The sequence below is a fragment of the Homo sapiens genome, chromosome 18 (genome assembly GCF_000001405.40).
Source record: "Homo sapiens chromosome 18, GRCh38.p14 Primary Assembly".
Lineage (NCBI taxonomy): Eukaryota > Metazoa > Chordata > Mammalia > Primates > Hominidae > Homo > Homo sapiens.
In genome coordinates, this window is record NC_000018.10 from 1344928 (window position 1) to 1361292 (window position 16365).

Here is a 16365-nt window from a genome sequence, read left to right on the forward strand (position 1 = left end):
AAAGAAGCATTTAGCAGCTTCTATAGTGCCTTGCACGTAAGAGGCCTTAATGATGATTTGTGGAATAAGTATTTGATTGTCAGGACCAAAGATAATACCATTTGCCCATGTACTTCAGTGTTACAAATAGCACTTGCTTCATTAATCACACTGGTGTATTCATAACACAGTGTGGCAATAACAAGATGCAGTCATTTTTTCATTAACTTAAAAAATTTACTTATCTGTTAATCATGATCAACCAGCTAAACTTAAGTTAAAAAGGAGTTGACTATTTAAAAATGTTAAATGAGCCAGAAGTCATCAGGGAATTTTTAAATGCAATGAGTGGGATTTTTTGCAGTAAGAACAGAGAAGAAGCATGCTGCTATGGTTTTTACTGTGTCCCCTAGAATTTATGTGTTGAAAATTTGGTCCCTGATGTGGTAATGCTGTGAGATGGGGCCTATAAGAAGTGATTAAGTCATTAAAATGGATTAATGCTGCTCTCACAGAACTTGTTTAATTCTTATGGAAGTGAGTGAGTTTTAGTTCTCTCCAGACTAGATTAGTTACCAGGAGAGGGAATTGTTACAAAGCAAGGCCACCCCTTGTATTTTGCCCCTTTTGCACATATAGACTTCCCAGTCCACTTCTCCATCAGGTTATGATGGTTCATCCATCATTATGAACATTATACATTATACATATTACAATATGGAGATGCAGCCACCAATCTTGAACTTCTCAGCCTCCAGAACCATGAGCCAAAATCAATTTCTTTTTAAAAATAAACTAGCCAGTCTCTGAGTATTCCATTATAGCAACAGCAAACGGACTAAGACAAATGCTACTTGGAATATAGCATGCTACTTCGAATGTGTCCTAATTTATGTGAAAACATGTTATATCTGCACAAATGACATACCAATGCCAATGTCAAATCTCATGTTTTTATAGCCCAAAATCTTGTCATCTTTTTCTCAAAAACATAGCTTCCACTTCATTACAAATACTAAAAGAACTACAATTGAGACATTTATAGCAAGATCACAGAGGAAAACTATTTCTCCAGAACACCTCTGCTATTCTTTATTGCTCAAAGGTAACAAATACGAACATAAATCAAAAAAGTCCCTACCAACTGAAATTAGACTGAATAAGAAAATAAACCTTTATTTGCAACATTGGCTATATTTTAATTTCTTATTCAGTTCATCATATCTCTATGCCACAAAATACTTTTAAAAGTTCCATATAGAATGATTGGGAGCTCCTCTATGTTCCATCTAGCAGAGCAAAGTCATCCAGAAAGGAGCCAGGACAGAAGCATCTGCAGAGTAGCTGGGTAGACAGACAAGAAGCCACAAGCACTGGGCAACAAAGAAGGTTTGAGAAGGAAAGTCCCTTCCCAACTCTGGGCCTTAATGTCTTTCCCTTTGGAATAAACGGTTTGATTTAGGTAATCTCTAAGCATTCTGATGTTCTATGCTTGGGGACTATAGTTTTGAGGAAAGAGATAACAAAGATTCTGGGCTATTAAAACAAAACCAGTGAATGACAAAGTGCAGAATGGAGCATAAGAATGGTGTTTGGAGAATGTGGGTCCAGGAGACCCAGGCATAACAGTTTAGACAAATAGATGGTTCAAGCTCTGGTGTTTATAAGGGCAGTGGAGACAGATGAGAAGAGGGAAGGCAATCCTAACAGCACTTAAATATCTCTTCTAAGAATGTGGAAAATGTTTCTGTGAGCAGAAAGAAATCCAGCTCAACGATGCCCACCTTGGATCTGCCTCAACACCATTTGCAGATACAACACATTCCCTTCAAACCTGGTGTCATTAGAGATAGCTATTGCCAAACAAGGGCACATAGATACCTGCCTGTAGAGAAAGGGTTTCAGAATATTGGTGAAGCCACTTCCAAAAACAAAATTATATAAAAAATTTAATAAATGCATTTCATTTTTGAATGGACAATACATTCGTATGGTATAAAATATAAAGAAATCTTAAAGAATATACAATATATCTTAAAGAATATACAATGAATAAAGTAAGTTTTTCCCCCATTCCCACCCTTAATTTTCCTCTCCAAGGCAGCTATTAGGTTGGTGCCACAGTAATTGCGGTTTTTGCCATTACTTTTAATGTACTGTTGCACCAACCTATGGCTATTACCAATTTCTTGTGTATCATTTTCAGAGATATGTTAATATAACGTGAGCACACACACATACACACACACACACACACACACACATACCACATAAATAATGGGTATACAATGATACTTTTTTGGTACACAAATGATAATATACTTACAGATGAAGAAACTGAAAACTTTCATTTGGTTTCACCTGCTTAGGATGCATTGTATGGCTGTACCACAGTATAGATAATCAGTTCTTGGTAATGAACTTTGATTTCCAATCTACTGCTATTGCAGAAAGGGTTGCAATAAATGTATATTCATCATTTTGTAAATGTCTGAGTAAATCTATAAGATAAAACTCTGAATGTGGAATTTCAGTATTAAAGGGACTGTATTTGTACTTTTTATTATAGAACAACCACAGCTGAATATAAGCTGCTCTTATATCTTTTAGCTGATCTCCTGTGTTCACTTTCTACTCCTGCCAACTACTTTCTGTGTAACTGAACAAGTTACTTATCTTTCCAGACCTCAATTTTGCCATCTGAAAATAGGAATAATAATTGTTCTTGCTTGATAGGATTGTTGTGATGAATTAGTTAATAAATACATGTAAAGTTCTTAGAACAGTACCTGACAAAAAGTAAACACTCAAAACATGTCAAATATCATTATTAGTTCTATTATTGACCCATGTAACACACAAATACGAGTTTCCATTATCTAACATTTTATCTTTGCCAATCTAATAGCGTTTTTACCTAATTGTGGTTTTAATTTATATTTATCTTCCATTTTGAATGTACCAAGTTATTTATTCTTCAGTTTGAAAGTCAGTTGTAATTTCTTTCTCTAAACTATTTATGACCTTTGCTTTTATTTCTATTGGATCATTTATTATTTTCTCATGGATGAATAGAAAGTGTTTATTAAAGAAATTAGCCTTCGCCTATGATATGTATTATAAACATTTTTCTAAATTCCTTGTATTTTATTTATGGTTATTTCTGCCATGCAAATGTTCTATTTTTAGTCAAGTTTATGAATCTTTTTTTATGGCTTCTGGGCTTTGTATGACATTTAGAAATGTTTTATTCCAAAATTACTTTTTAAATGTTTGCTATGTTTTATTTTCATACTTTTATGGATAATTCTTTTACACTAAAATCTTTGCTTCATATGAAATTATAGTAGGAACCAGTATTTCTTTTTTCAGATGGCTATGCAGTTTTTCTAGCATCATTTACTGAATAATTCATGTTTTTTCACTAATTTTTCAATGTCACCTTTAACACATACCAAATTCACAAACTTACCGAGCTATTTTCTGAACATTTTACTCTGTTTTATTAAATCATACGTTACTTATGTAAGTGCTGGCATCAACTTTGAAATTACTATATTATAACAATACATTTAATATCTTGTAGGACTAAATACTCATCCCCTTGGAGGGTACATTCAAAAAGCAATAACTTCACTGTTTTTCAGAATTTTTGTAATGATCAATATTAGAATCAGTGTAGTTCATTTAAAAGTCATCTTGCTGTAATTATTGAGGAGCATATTAAACATATAGATTTATTGGGAGAGAATAAACATTAAAATGATATTAAGTTTTCATGTCCAAAAAGGGGGAATGCATTTAAATTTAATTCTTCTTGAGTACCTCCATAGTATTCTCAATTTTAATTTATTTATGTGTTCTACATTTCTTATTAAGTTTATTTCTGTGTATTTCACCTTTTTGTGGCTATGGTCAGTAAGTGCTTCCCTTTAATTATGTTTTTCTATCTTGTTTTTATTTTGTATATGAGAAAGCTATTCCTTTTTTTCTTAATGTACTCTGCTGCCTCATGGAATTTTCTTATTATTTTATGAGAGTTTCAGATCATCCACTTGAGTTTGTAATTGATATAACTATATTAAACTGCAAATATTTATTTTCCCTTCTCTTTTGTAACTTTATACCCTTTATTTCCTTCTCTAATTTATTACTTTAGACTTCATTAAAAAACAATGTCATAATGAACATATTCCTCTTGCTCCGAAATGAAAAGGAACGGTTCTAGAAGTTCTAGATGCAGTTCTTTTAAAAATATGAAATAATAATTATATTTTTATTTTCAGGATATTTTATGTAAATACATTGCAGTGCATTAAGAGTTCTTAACAAGAATAGAGAATGAATTTCATCAAATTTCTTCTAGCTATAAAGAGATAATTATACGCATTTTCTCTTTTTATCTATTAGCTTGCTAAGTTACAGTATTTTAATTTTAATATTTTAATATTGAGCTATGTACAGATGCTGTAACTCAGCAGAAATCCTTACTGGTTCCAGGATTCCATTTCCCTTCTCTTGTTCTGTTGTTGAAGCATTTTGGCAGGATATTGTCTTGGACAAAATTCTCAAATGCTAGAAGATAGAATTTAGAATACCAGTGCATGCTTTTACAGTATTTCTAATGACTATAAACAACATGGCAGCACAAGTTAGTCCGGAAGGGCAAGGACCATCCACAGCCTATTTTCAGAGATCAAGTTAGCACAGCTGACCTAGGATACAGAAGATGGGAGGCATAGAATTAAATAGTTGGTTAGGAGCAAAGGAAGACTGAAGCAGAACAGAAAACTCTTATCAGTAAAATAACAAGTAGTGGATCCACCTTTTTGCAGGCATCAATTACCTTGAAAATGCAGTCAGGAAACAAAAACATAAATAGGTTGGGACTCTTGGGTTTGATGGAAAAAACAAAAATATATGTTTTTTGTGGGTTAGTGAGCTCTAGTAAGTTGTTTTTACTATTCTCTGTGTTTCATTCAGCAGACTGCAATTCCCACAATCACCAGGAAAATCCTATCTGATGACACTAACACTGCTAGCAGTAATCTACATCACTATTCGTCCCCGTGGAGTGGCACCTTAGGTTTAGTAAGTGTTTCGGTTTTCTCTCCAACCAACTCCCCATAGTTATCAAAACAGACTCACTCCATGCTTGTCTTCTCCACTTCACAAAAGCCTCAGCATGCCAAGGGAAGCATATTTTTTCCTATTCAAAAGTATGGCTATGAAGAATAAACTGCAATGGTCTGAAGTGTCAGTTTTCAAAAGCAAGTATCCTGTTCTAAAGAACAGACCAAAAAGAGCAGACAGAGCAAAATAAGCCTTGCTTCAGTTTTCAAGATCTAGGCTGATGGAAGTGAATGAGGAGGAAAAAAATGAAGTGACAGAAAGAAATAATATGTGTGATAGAGATGAGCTGGTATATTACACAAGTTCACTTAATTATTCAACTTACACTTAATATATGACATATTTATACTGCATGTTATGTGCAATAGGGCACATAAAAGAAATACACACACACACATACATATATATATAATTGTACAGATTAGAAAATTCAAGGAATGTAAAATAAAATGCCATCACTGGTAAGCCTCTGGCCTCATTGAATATCCAGTAAAACATCCTTAGATATCAGGGTATATACAGAATGAAACGAAAACAATCAATGTCCTTGTTGCGAGTTCAAGAGCTAAAATCTGAAAAATCTCATCAACAAAGACATGCTGCTGAAAATCAAGTACTTACCTGTGAATCAGACCTAGAAAATTACTTCTGTCAGAGATACCTCTGGTTTAGGTATTTAAGCTAAAACTATAATTCAACTTCACAGCTTAAATATCTTTGACACAAATTCTAGTTTATTTGTATCAGTTAATCCATATAGCACAGCTACATTATGTATGAGAAGAGCCCTGTGGGCTGATCTACCTGCAATTTAAATGAACACATCCTTTGAAAAATATGTTCTCAATCCCTCAGTTCTCAAAAAACTAAATTTAAAGAAAGTCTTTGGAATAAAGACCCACCATAAATCAGAGGTCCTGAATTTACAAACCTTCATGCTCCTGAAAGCCCACCCACTGAGCAAACTTAGGCCATGTGTGGAAATCTTCTGTAAAGAATGTGAAATGTGCATTGAGTTCCAGATGAGTTACAGAGGGTTGACATTCTGCTCAGTGTCATCTAGCCAATTTTTAAATCAATTTTACGGGGTAAGAAACAATGTTTAAGTTATGTATGACACATCACAAAATAATTTTCTAATGAAAAAGCGCAGATGGTAAAAAAATTATTTGAGAGCGTATTACATGAGTTAGTACAAAGATAACACACTGTAAACTTTACACTTGTGCTTTGCCTTTGTCAAATCTATGAGACAAGAAGAGGTTGTATTCTCATGCTGATTCCACCATGTAAGTATGTTCAGAGAAGTTATGAGAGATTCCCAAGCAGTCATAGCGATTTGGTTATGCTGTGATGCACATTTCAATGTTATGAATCAAAGTCCAGTGTTCTTAGGTATCTATTGAAGCAACAATGGGGATGAGGAGAAGAGATCATGAAGAGCTGAGATAATTACAGACAACCCCAGATAATTTTGGCAGTGAAAATGAAATCGGATAGCATTAGGAGATATACCTAATGCTAAATGATGAGTTAGTGGGAGCAGCACACCAGCATGGCACATGTATACATATGTAACTAACCTGCATATTGTGCACATGTACCCTAAAACTTAAAGTATAATAATAATTTTTAAAAAAGAAAAAAAAGAAAATGAAATCGAATGAGTAGACAAAAGCAGTCTAAAGAAGTACAAGTGAGGCTTTTGATAAATGGAAAATAGGTATGATGATCTGATTCTCTAAAAGAAATGTTAAGGGGAATGATGGAGACTCTAGCAAAATTCAAACCTAGGAAGCAAATGATGGGAGCTATCATTAGAGCATCATATGTAACTGGCTACCCATGTTAAATCAGTGCTTAACTCCAGCTCAACCAGACTTTGGGCTTTACTTCCATTACTTTTCCACATGACATAAAAAAGAAACAAACATTCTAAGACATCAAAATTAAAAGATAACTGTCAGGACTTTCAGTATAAGTTATGATAAACTAGACTAATCACTCCACCTTAAATAAATAGAAAAGTGGGGAAAATGAATGAAACAATTTTTTCAGCATTGAGAAATAGGAACTATAATTCATAAGAGTAGGGGAAAAATCAGGTAAGCAACATAATCACTGCAGTTTACTGTCTTGGAGCACTATCTAGACTGTAGCCCATAAGAAACAAATGGAAAAAGAGTTTTTTCAACAGAAACAGACTCCAAATGACTGAGATAATTAAATTATTATGCAAGGATTACAGAGAGAACGATCAATAACCTTGAAGAAAAGTCAAATCAAAGTTTCCAAATTGAAGCACAGGAAGGAAAAGGGCTGGAAAAAAAAAAAACAGTCACAGTAATCTCTTGGATGAAAATGAGAAATTTATTATAAGTATGAAAAGAGTACCAGGAATAGAGGAATTCGGCAGAGAAAAAATTTGAATAAATAATTGATAAGATTTTTTCCAGATATGATGGAAAATATTAACCTATAGATTCAGGAACCTCAATGAACCTCAAGCAAGATAAACACAAAGAAAACCACCCAAATCACATCATAAACAAATTGTGTAAAACTAGTAATAAAGAAGAATAATCTTAAAGCCAGCCAAAAAAATATTTATGCTACACACCCAGAGGAACAAATATAGGAATTATTATTGACTTTCATCAGAAACAATGCAGATCATAAAAGGATGGAAACATATGTTTACAGTACTAGGGTGGAGAGTGGGTTTATCAACTGAGAATTCTATATCCTCTAAAGTATTCTCCCAATGAAAAGGATCAGTGCAAAACATGCTAAAGGGAGTCCTTCAGGTCCCCAAAGAAGAAAGTAATGTAGGAAATGTTAGACAAAAATGCTATAAGACATATAGAAAACAAATAGCAAAATGACAGAAGCAAGTCCTTCCTTACCAGTAAGCCTTAACAAAGAAAGAAAATTCTGACATATGCTACAACATAGATGAACCTAGAAGACACTATGCTAAGTGAAATAAGCCAGCTACAAAAAGGCAAATACTATATGATTACATTTATATAAGCTACTCAGAGTAGTCAAAATGACAGAGACAGAAAGTAGATGGTTATTGCCAAAGGTTGGGGGTAGAAGGGAATGAGAAGTAATTGTTTAATGGGTATGAAGTTTCAGTTTTGCAAGATGAAAAGAGTTCTGGAGATGGATGGGTAGTGATGGTTGCACAATAATATGAATGTACTTAGTACCACCCAAATGATTCACTTAAAAATAGTTAAGATGGTAAATATTCTGTTATGTGTATTTCCCAACAATGAAAAATTGTAAAAAATGAAGGTAAGATAAACACATTTTTATAGAACAATTTTTAAAAAATTAATCACTAGAAGACTTTAATTACCAAGGAAAGCAAGTTCTTCAGACGGAAAGGAAATGATACCAGATGAAAGCTCAGATCTGCACAAAGAAAAGAATGCCAAAAATAACAGATAATAAATGAGTACATATAAAAGACTTTAAATTTCCTTTAAAAAACATAAAAATGTTTTACAGGTTTGTGATATACGTGTAAGTAAAACGTATAACAACAATAACAAAGATTTAAGGCAAGAATTCTAAGTATACTCTTGAAAGGCTCTGAAATCCTATGAGTAATAAAAGGTTAATTTAATATTTGAAAAATCAAGTAATGTGACATCACATTTATGAAGGATAAAAATAATCATAATTCTTTTAATATAGCATAAAAGGCATTTAACTAAATTCAACACTCATTTATTGGATTTTTTTAATTAAACAAATTAGAAACCCAGTAAATCTTTCTTGGCCTAGTGAAGGGCAACTATAAAAAATTTTCAGGTAAGGTCATGCTTAATGGTGAAAGAGTGAATGCTTTCCTCTAAAGATCAAAACAAAGCAAGGGTGTCCACTCTTACCATTTCCATTCAGTATGGGAGATTTTTGTGTGTTCAATAAAGGAGAAAAAAAGAGAATAAAAATTTTTAAAATAAAAGACATATAAATTAGAAAAGAAATAAAATTGTATTATTCACAGGAAACATGATTGTATATGTAGAAAATCCTAAATAATCTACCAAAACTGTATTAGAACTGATAAATTAAATTAGAAAAGTCACAAGATTCAGGATCAATATTTAAATATCAACTGTATTTTTATTTACTAACAATAAATAATAGAAAAATGTAAGTTTTTAAAATTTTATTTACAATATCATCAAAACATATAAACTAACTAGGAATGAATTTAACATATGTATAAGACTCATATCTTGAAGTTTTATAACATTGCTGATAAAAATTCAAGAACAAAAGAAACTACTGTCAGAGTGAACAGGCAACATACAAAATGGGAGAAAATTTTCGCAACCTACTCATCTGACAAAGGGCTAATATCCAGAATCTACAATGAACTCAAACAAATTTACAAGAAAAAAACAAACAACCCCATCAAAAAGTGGGCGAAGGACATGAACAGACACTTCTCAAAAGAAGACATTTATGCAGCCAAAAAACACATGAAAAAATGCTCATCATCACTAGCCATCAGAGAAATGCAAATCAAAACCACTATGAGATACCATCTCACACCAGTTAGAATGGCAATCATTAAAAAGTCAGGAAACAACAGGTGCTGGAGAGGATGTGGAGAAATAGGAACACTTTTACACTGTTGGTGGGACTGTAAACTAGTTCAACCATTGTGGAAGTCAGTGTGGCGATTCCTCAGGGATCTAGAACCAGAAATACCATTTGACCCAGCCATCCCATTACTGGGTATATACCCAAAGGACTATAAATCATGCTGCTATAAAGACACATGCACACGTATGTTTATTGCGGCATTATTCACGATAGCAAAGACTTGGAACCAACCCAAATGTCCAACAATGATAGACTGGATTAAGAAAATATGGCACATATACACCATGGAATACTATGCAGCCATAAAAAATGATGAGTTCATGTCCTTTGTAGGGACATGGATGAAGCTGGAAACCATCATTCTCAGTAAACTATCACAAGAACAAAAAACCAAATGCCGCATATTCTCACTCATAGGTGGGAATTGAACAATGAGATCACATGGACACAGGAAGGGGAATATCACACTCTGGGGACTGTTGTGGGGTGGGGGGAGCGGGGAGGGATAGCACTGGGAGATATACCTGATGCTAGATGATGAGTTAGTGGGTGCAGCACACCAGCATGGCACATGTATACATATGTAACTAACCTGCACAATGTGCACATGTACCCTAAATCTTAAAGTATAATAATAAAAAAAAAGAACAGCTAAATAAATGGAAAGATATAACAATTTAAAGACTAGAAGAATCAATATTTTCATGTCAGTTCTCCCAAGGGGGCTACAAATTTAATGCAATACAAACGCCAGCAGTCTTTATTGAGAAACCTGGCAGACAAGATGATTCTAAAATTCATATATAAATTTGAAGGACCCTGCACGGCCAAAACAATTTTGAAATGTAAGAATAAAATTGCACTTTTATCTTATTTGAATTTGAAGTTTAATACAACACCTATGTAGTAATCAAGAAAACATGGTATTAGCATGAAGATAGATAACAAATCTTGAATTGGTAGTGGTTGCACTGGTGCGGGGGGGAGGGGGTCTGTCAAAGTGGTTCAAACTGAATACTTTAAATGGGTGCATTTATTGTATGTAACTACATTTAGTAAAATTGATTTTAAAAAAGATAATTGTCATTAATAGGCAGGCTAAGAAAGGAGGTCTCTGAGGTATATGGGCAAAGGAATATGATGTAGCATTTAAAAATATTTGATGAAAAGTCAATAAACAGAACTTTGCTAAAGTAGACAAACCTGCACAACTGATAATCAGCCAGAATTTTGTTAAAACAATACAACTGGAAGTAGTTTGCTCTATGACATTTTTATTCCCTGTTGCCTCGCTGTGGATTACTGACAACATAAATGTGTAAAAATAAAGACATTTGTTTTACCTTTCAAGACTTCATGAATTTCAGCTATTACAAAATTTCAGTGATGTCTTGTTTTTATGTAAGTCTGAGATTGTAGATATAAATTTGTCTTTTGAGTGGGGAAAGAGGGTAAAAAATAGATAAATACATTTTTTAAGATAAGCATATTTTATGTAAATGAGTTTTAGAATAAAACTTAGGAGCACAGAAATAAATATAGAAATATCTCTAAAAAGCAAATATTTACCATTAAAAATAACCCTGATTCTGTCATAACTATCATTAAGACTAGAAACAGCTGGGTGCGGTGGTGCACACCTGTAATCCCAGCACTTTGGGAGGCCAAGGCGGGTGGATCACGAGGTCAGGAGATTGAAACCATCCTGGCTAAAATGGTGAAACCCTGTCTCTGCTGAAAATACAAAAAATTAGCCAGGTGTGGTGGTGGTGCGCTCCTATAGTCTCAGCTACTCGGGAGGCTGAGGCAGGAGAATGGTGTGAACCTGGGCGGCGGAGCTTGTAGTGAGCCTAGATCACGCCTCTGCACTCCAGCCTGGGTGACAGAGCGAGACTCCATCTCAAAAGAGAACAACAACAAAAAAAGACTAGAAACAATGCATCTTACTTAAACAACACTTTAGAAGATTCCATCTAAGGCTAAAATTGTCCTCAAAATGAGAGGGGAAATCCATCACATTTTCATTGTTTTGAAATGTTTTCAAAATAATATCTATATTTTCCACTTAAATTCTTTTATTTCTTTAGGTACCAAGCATTATTTAGTGACATGACCAATGTAATTTTAACAAAGATATATAGCTTGGGGAAAGACACTGAAAGTTGCTCCGAAATGAGGGGAGAACTTTTTGCAATAAGTAACCGGAGGTGTTTTAACGTGGAATTCATGCTCCTAGTATTATTTCTAATAGGTTCGGATACATACAAAATAAATTAAAGCCTTAAATCATCAAGTTTATTTGTGACATGATATTAAATATAAGAGAAAGTTTCTTTAAAAGCAGAAAGTACCAAGGCATGAATCTACAAGGAGAGGCAGCATGAGAACTTTAATATATAGCAGCTATTATCAAGCTGTGTCCAATTCAAGAAAACAATTTCCACAACTCAATGTACTTAGAATGCTTATTGTATGAATTGTCTGCTTAAGATATAAAGAGGATGATTATAGAGCTGCAGCCATGTTTTTAAATCTCTCAAGTCTCATGAAAAATTATTATGAGAAAAGAAAGAACAAATAGTAAATCATATCTCCTAAAGACAATGAAATTATACCAGAAAGATGTATTAACATAACAGATAAAAATTGGAACTGTCTACTTCAAAACAGTCATTAAGAAAATAACATAAGGCATAAAGGAAAACATATATCAAAACTAGAAAATCTTATAAATGAATTGAATAACTCGAGAGAAGTAGAAATAAAAGAAAAACCATTTTATAACCAAAGGTTAACCTAGAAGTAACATAAGAATAACAGATACCATTTTAAAAGAAATAGAATATAAACACTCAAGTCAAAAATAAATATCACAGTTTCCTCCCCAGGCCTTTGCAGGTACTGAGGGTGAACTATCAGGGCTGGGTCTCCCCATCCCCAAAGCAGCCAAACCTACTCTCCCATCCCAACCCCATTCCTGAATGCATAGGGTGTAAGACCTTCATTAGTGATGTGGACGCCTGCACTGTGGAAGAGCACTCCAAGCTATACTGTAGGCAATGTTACAACCAGACTATGGTGATGTCATCACCAAGCAGATCCTCACCAACATCCCTCACTCCCATCTGCCTTTCCACAGTCACCCTAGTATCCACCTTAACCTCAGCACATGGCAAATATGACCTTTCAGTTTTCATCAGTCCATCTCAAGACCTCCTGGGCAGGGACACAGAGTGCTCCCACACGGTCTACTCCAGGGAGAAGTGGCCAGCTTGCCAAGGGTGCAGGTGCCATGGCTGTGGCCATACATGCTCCAGGTGGAGCTAAGGGCCCACAGAGCATTTGGGTACAATCCTCTGGCAAACTGGTAGTTACCTTTTTATACGAATCTGAAAACCATTAGAAATACTGGATAACATAGTTTTAATCTGAAAAAAAGAACTTCTTTATCCCATAAATAATCCAACAAGTAAGAATAATAATCAATTCAGGAGTGAATGAAGGGAAAAAACACAGGGTTGTTAGCAGAACTCTTTATCTGGGTGACAAAATAAGGGGTACACCAAACTTCTGCAACATGCAATTTATATAACCAACCTGCACATGTACCCCTGAACCTAAAATACAAGTTAAAAAAAAAACCTATGTACTTAATGTAATATTTAACTTCCTTTGATGATAAATTTAAGTATTGGATTTTTTTCTAGGTTAAATTATTTCTATAATCAGAAAAGGAAAGAAGCCAAACATACCAGAGTACATATATAACTAATTCAATTTCTAAAAGTTCAGAGACAGGTAAAATTGCTCTTTAGTGAGAGAAGCTGGGATCCTGATTGCCCTTGGTGGAGGTAAGGACTTGGAGAGAACACATGAGGAAGATCCTTGGGGCTGGTAAAATGTTCTGGTCCTTGATCTGGGTGCTGGCTATAGTATTATATTGAGTTTTGGAAGATTCACTGATTTATGTACTTTTCTGTGTGTACATTATATTTTAATAAAAGATTTCAAATAAAATAGAATAAATATATGAATAAGTAAATAAATAAAGACTTACCATAAAGCTATGGTGATCAGGAGGGTGTGGTGTTGCTGGAAAAATTGACAAGTAGATTAGTGGAACAGAGGCTGAGGTAGGAGGATGGCTTGAGACTGGGAAGTTGAGTGAGGCTGCAGTGAGCCCTGATTGCACCACTGCACTCTAGCCTAGGCAGCAGTGCAAGACCCTGTCTCAAACAAACAAACAAACAAATCTATTAATTAAAAAAAAAAGACATATAGCTGAAGAGGGAACTAATAGAAAACAAAATAGAGATTAAGGCATAGGAAGGACAGAGTGGGATCTAACAATCATCTATTTGAACTTTCAGAAAGAGAAGAGAGAGAAAATGGAGAAGAATCAATGTCTGACAATACAATGGCTAAGAACATCCCAGGACTGTTGAAAGACACTAATTCACAAATTCAAGCCCAGTAAATCTCAAATAGCAAAATAAAAAAGAGATCTACCCATGCACACATCTAGTGAAACCACAGTCCACCAAAAGCAAAAAAAAAAAGTTCATAAAAGTACCCATTAAAAACTACAGACTACCTTCAAAGAAAAAACAAAAAAACAATTAAACTGCTGTTTCTTAACAGAAACAATGGAAGTCTAAACCTGTAAAATAATACCTTCAATGCACTAGGAAAATAACCATCAACCTAAAATAGCATACCTGATGAAAATATCCTTTAAGAATGAGGATGAAATAAAGACATTGCATACATTAGTCAGGATTCTCCAGAGAAACTAAGGAATTGGCCCATGTGACTGTGGAGATTGGCATGTCCAAAATTTGTAGGTTAGAGCAGCAGACTTAAGACCTAGAGAACAGCTGATGTTCCAGTTCAAATTGTAAGCAATCTAGAGGCAGAATTCTCTCTTCTTCAGGGGAGATCAGTCCTTTCTTTAAGGCATTTATGCCTAGTGCTCCACTATTGGAACGCTAAGCTTGTGGGATTTATTTATATCCTACTGCTCAAGGTCATTGCCAAGGTCTGATTTTTCACACAAAAAATTTGCAACCTCTGGCATAAACGGGTTAAGGCCTTCGACTGACTGGATAAGGCCACCCATATTATGGAGAGTAATCTGCTTTACTCAAAGTCCACTGATTTAAATGTTAATCTCATCTAAAAAAATCACTTCTCAGCAATATCCAGATGTGTTTGGCCAAATATCTGGGTGTCATGACCTAGCCAAGTTGACACAGAAAATTAAACATTTAATTTATAAACACATTTATAAAATAATAGACATATTTAGGCAGACAAAACCAAGAAGCCGATCACATGAGACCACCACTAAATGATGTTTGAAAGGATGTACTTCAGAACAAAGGAAAATTCTCTCCCACTCAGAAAAAAAAAAAAAAGATTTGGGATATAAGAAGCAGTGAAAATTAGTGAGCTAAACCATTGTTTTTTTGTCTAAATAATTAGAAAGTTAGACATCTTGAAATGTACCAAACCCTGAAGGGATATTACTTATTTTTAAGTGGAATGGTGAAGAGTTTCCATAAATAAAAAATCAAATATACTTTTTAATTTTGGTCTTTGCTTTACTTACTGATACATGTGGTTGATTCAAATCTTTTAAAAACTTGAAATACTTCATCTTTTGCTTTGCATTCTTCACTACCCCAAACCAAGTAAATAATACTTTTGTAACATTTATGAGTATGATAATTTCCACCTGCTCTCTGACTTTTTGTTAAAAGAGGGGGAGGAGCTGGTTTTACTCCTGGGAAATTAACAGGAAATGTTCATGAACAAAATTGCTAAAGCAATTATTGCTGGTTTGCCTGGCCGACTAATGGTAGCAATCAATAGCTGGCTTTGTGGAATATATCTCCATGGGCTAAGGAGAAGGAGTGAGTAGTGGCCTAGCTTGTTTCCTTCTTTGCTGATTTCCATCTTTAGCAGCTCACAGCATTAAAACACCTGGTTCAAAGGGAAAATATTACTATTTCATTCACCAAACAAATAGTTGTACTTATTGAAAATTTTGGTGGGTAGTAGGTGACAGATGAGGAATTCTTTTATTTATTTATTTATTAAGGAGCTATTTTTTAATTTTTGTGGGTACAAAGTCAGTGTATGTATTATGGGTTACGTGAGATATTTCTTTTTTTTAAAGAGGGACCCCTTTGTTACACATTTATAAAATAATAGTGTAATATAGTTATTAAAAATGGGACAATTTTTTTCATTTTTTTCTTGTATTCAATTATTCCATCCTCTTCACAGTCTTCCACAACTTGCTTTTGTTATCCACAGTGTTCACCTGAAACTTCCACCCCACCATTCAAAGCACAACTGAAGAATAAATGATCTAATAGATTCTTGTGAGACATTATCAAATAAATTAATCCAGTAACACATGAATAAAGATTGAGAGTTTTTAAAGAAATACAGTAAAACAAAACATACGAAGCATAATTTAATCTGATGATTCAGAAGGCACCTCAAGATTGTTGTTCCATTTTCCTCATGCTGCGTGTTTAAGTGCCTGTAACAGAATTCTGGTTAGTAAAATTTTGAACAAGAAAAATTTCACATATAATTCACATCAAATGATAG

At 34.0% G+C, this 16365-nt stretch overlaps 1 long non-coding RNA gene across 4 annotated transcripts in view; it reads right to left on the bottom strand.

Moving 5' to 3' along the window:
- The window catches only part of LINC00470 (long intergenic non-protein coding RNA 470), a 91319-nt gene extending 76617 nt beyond the window's left edge, over positions 1-14702 (bottom strand). For 3 of the 4 annotated variants that reach the window (NR_023927.1, NR_110327.1, NR_023926.1), the window contains exons 1-2: positions 14460-14702; positions 13799-13833 (exon numbers count right to left, since the gene is read on the bottom strand). This is a non-coding gene — a long non-coding RNA (long intergenic non-protein coding RNA 470). Of the gene's footprint in view, positions 1-8479; positions 8536-13798; positions 13834-14459 lie in introns of all 4 variants that reach the window. The other variant, NR_023925.1, reaches the window with a different exon arrangement.
- Positions 14703-16365: the final 1663 nt, after the last annotated feature.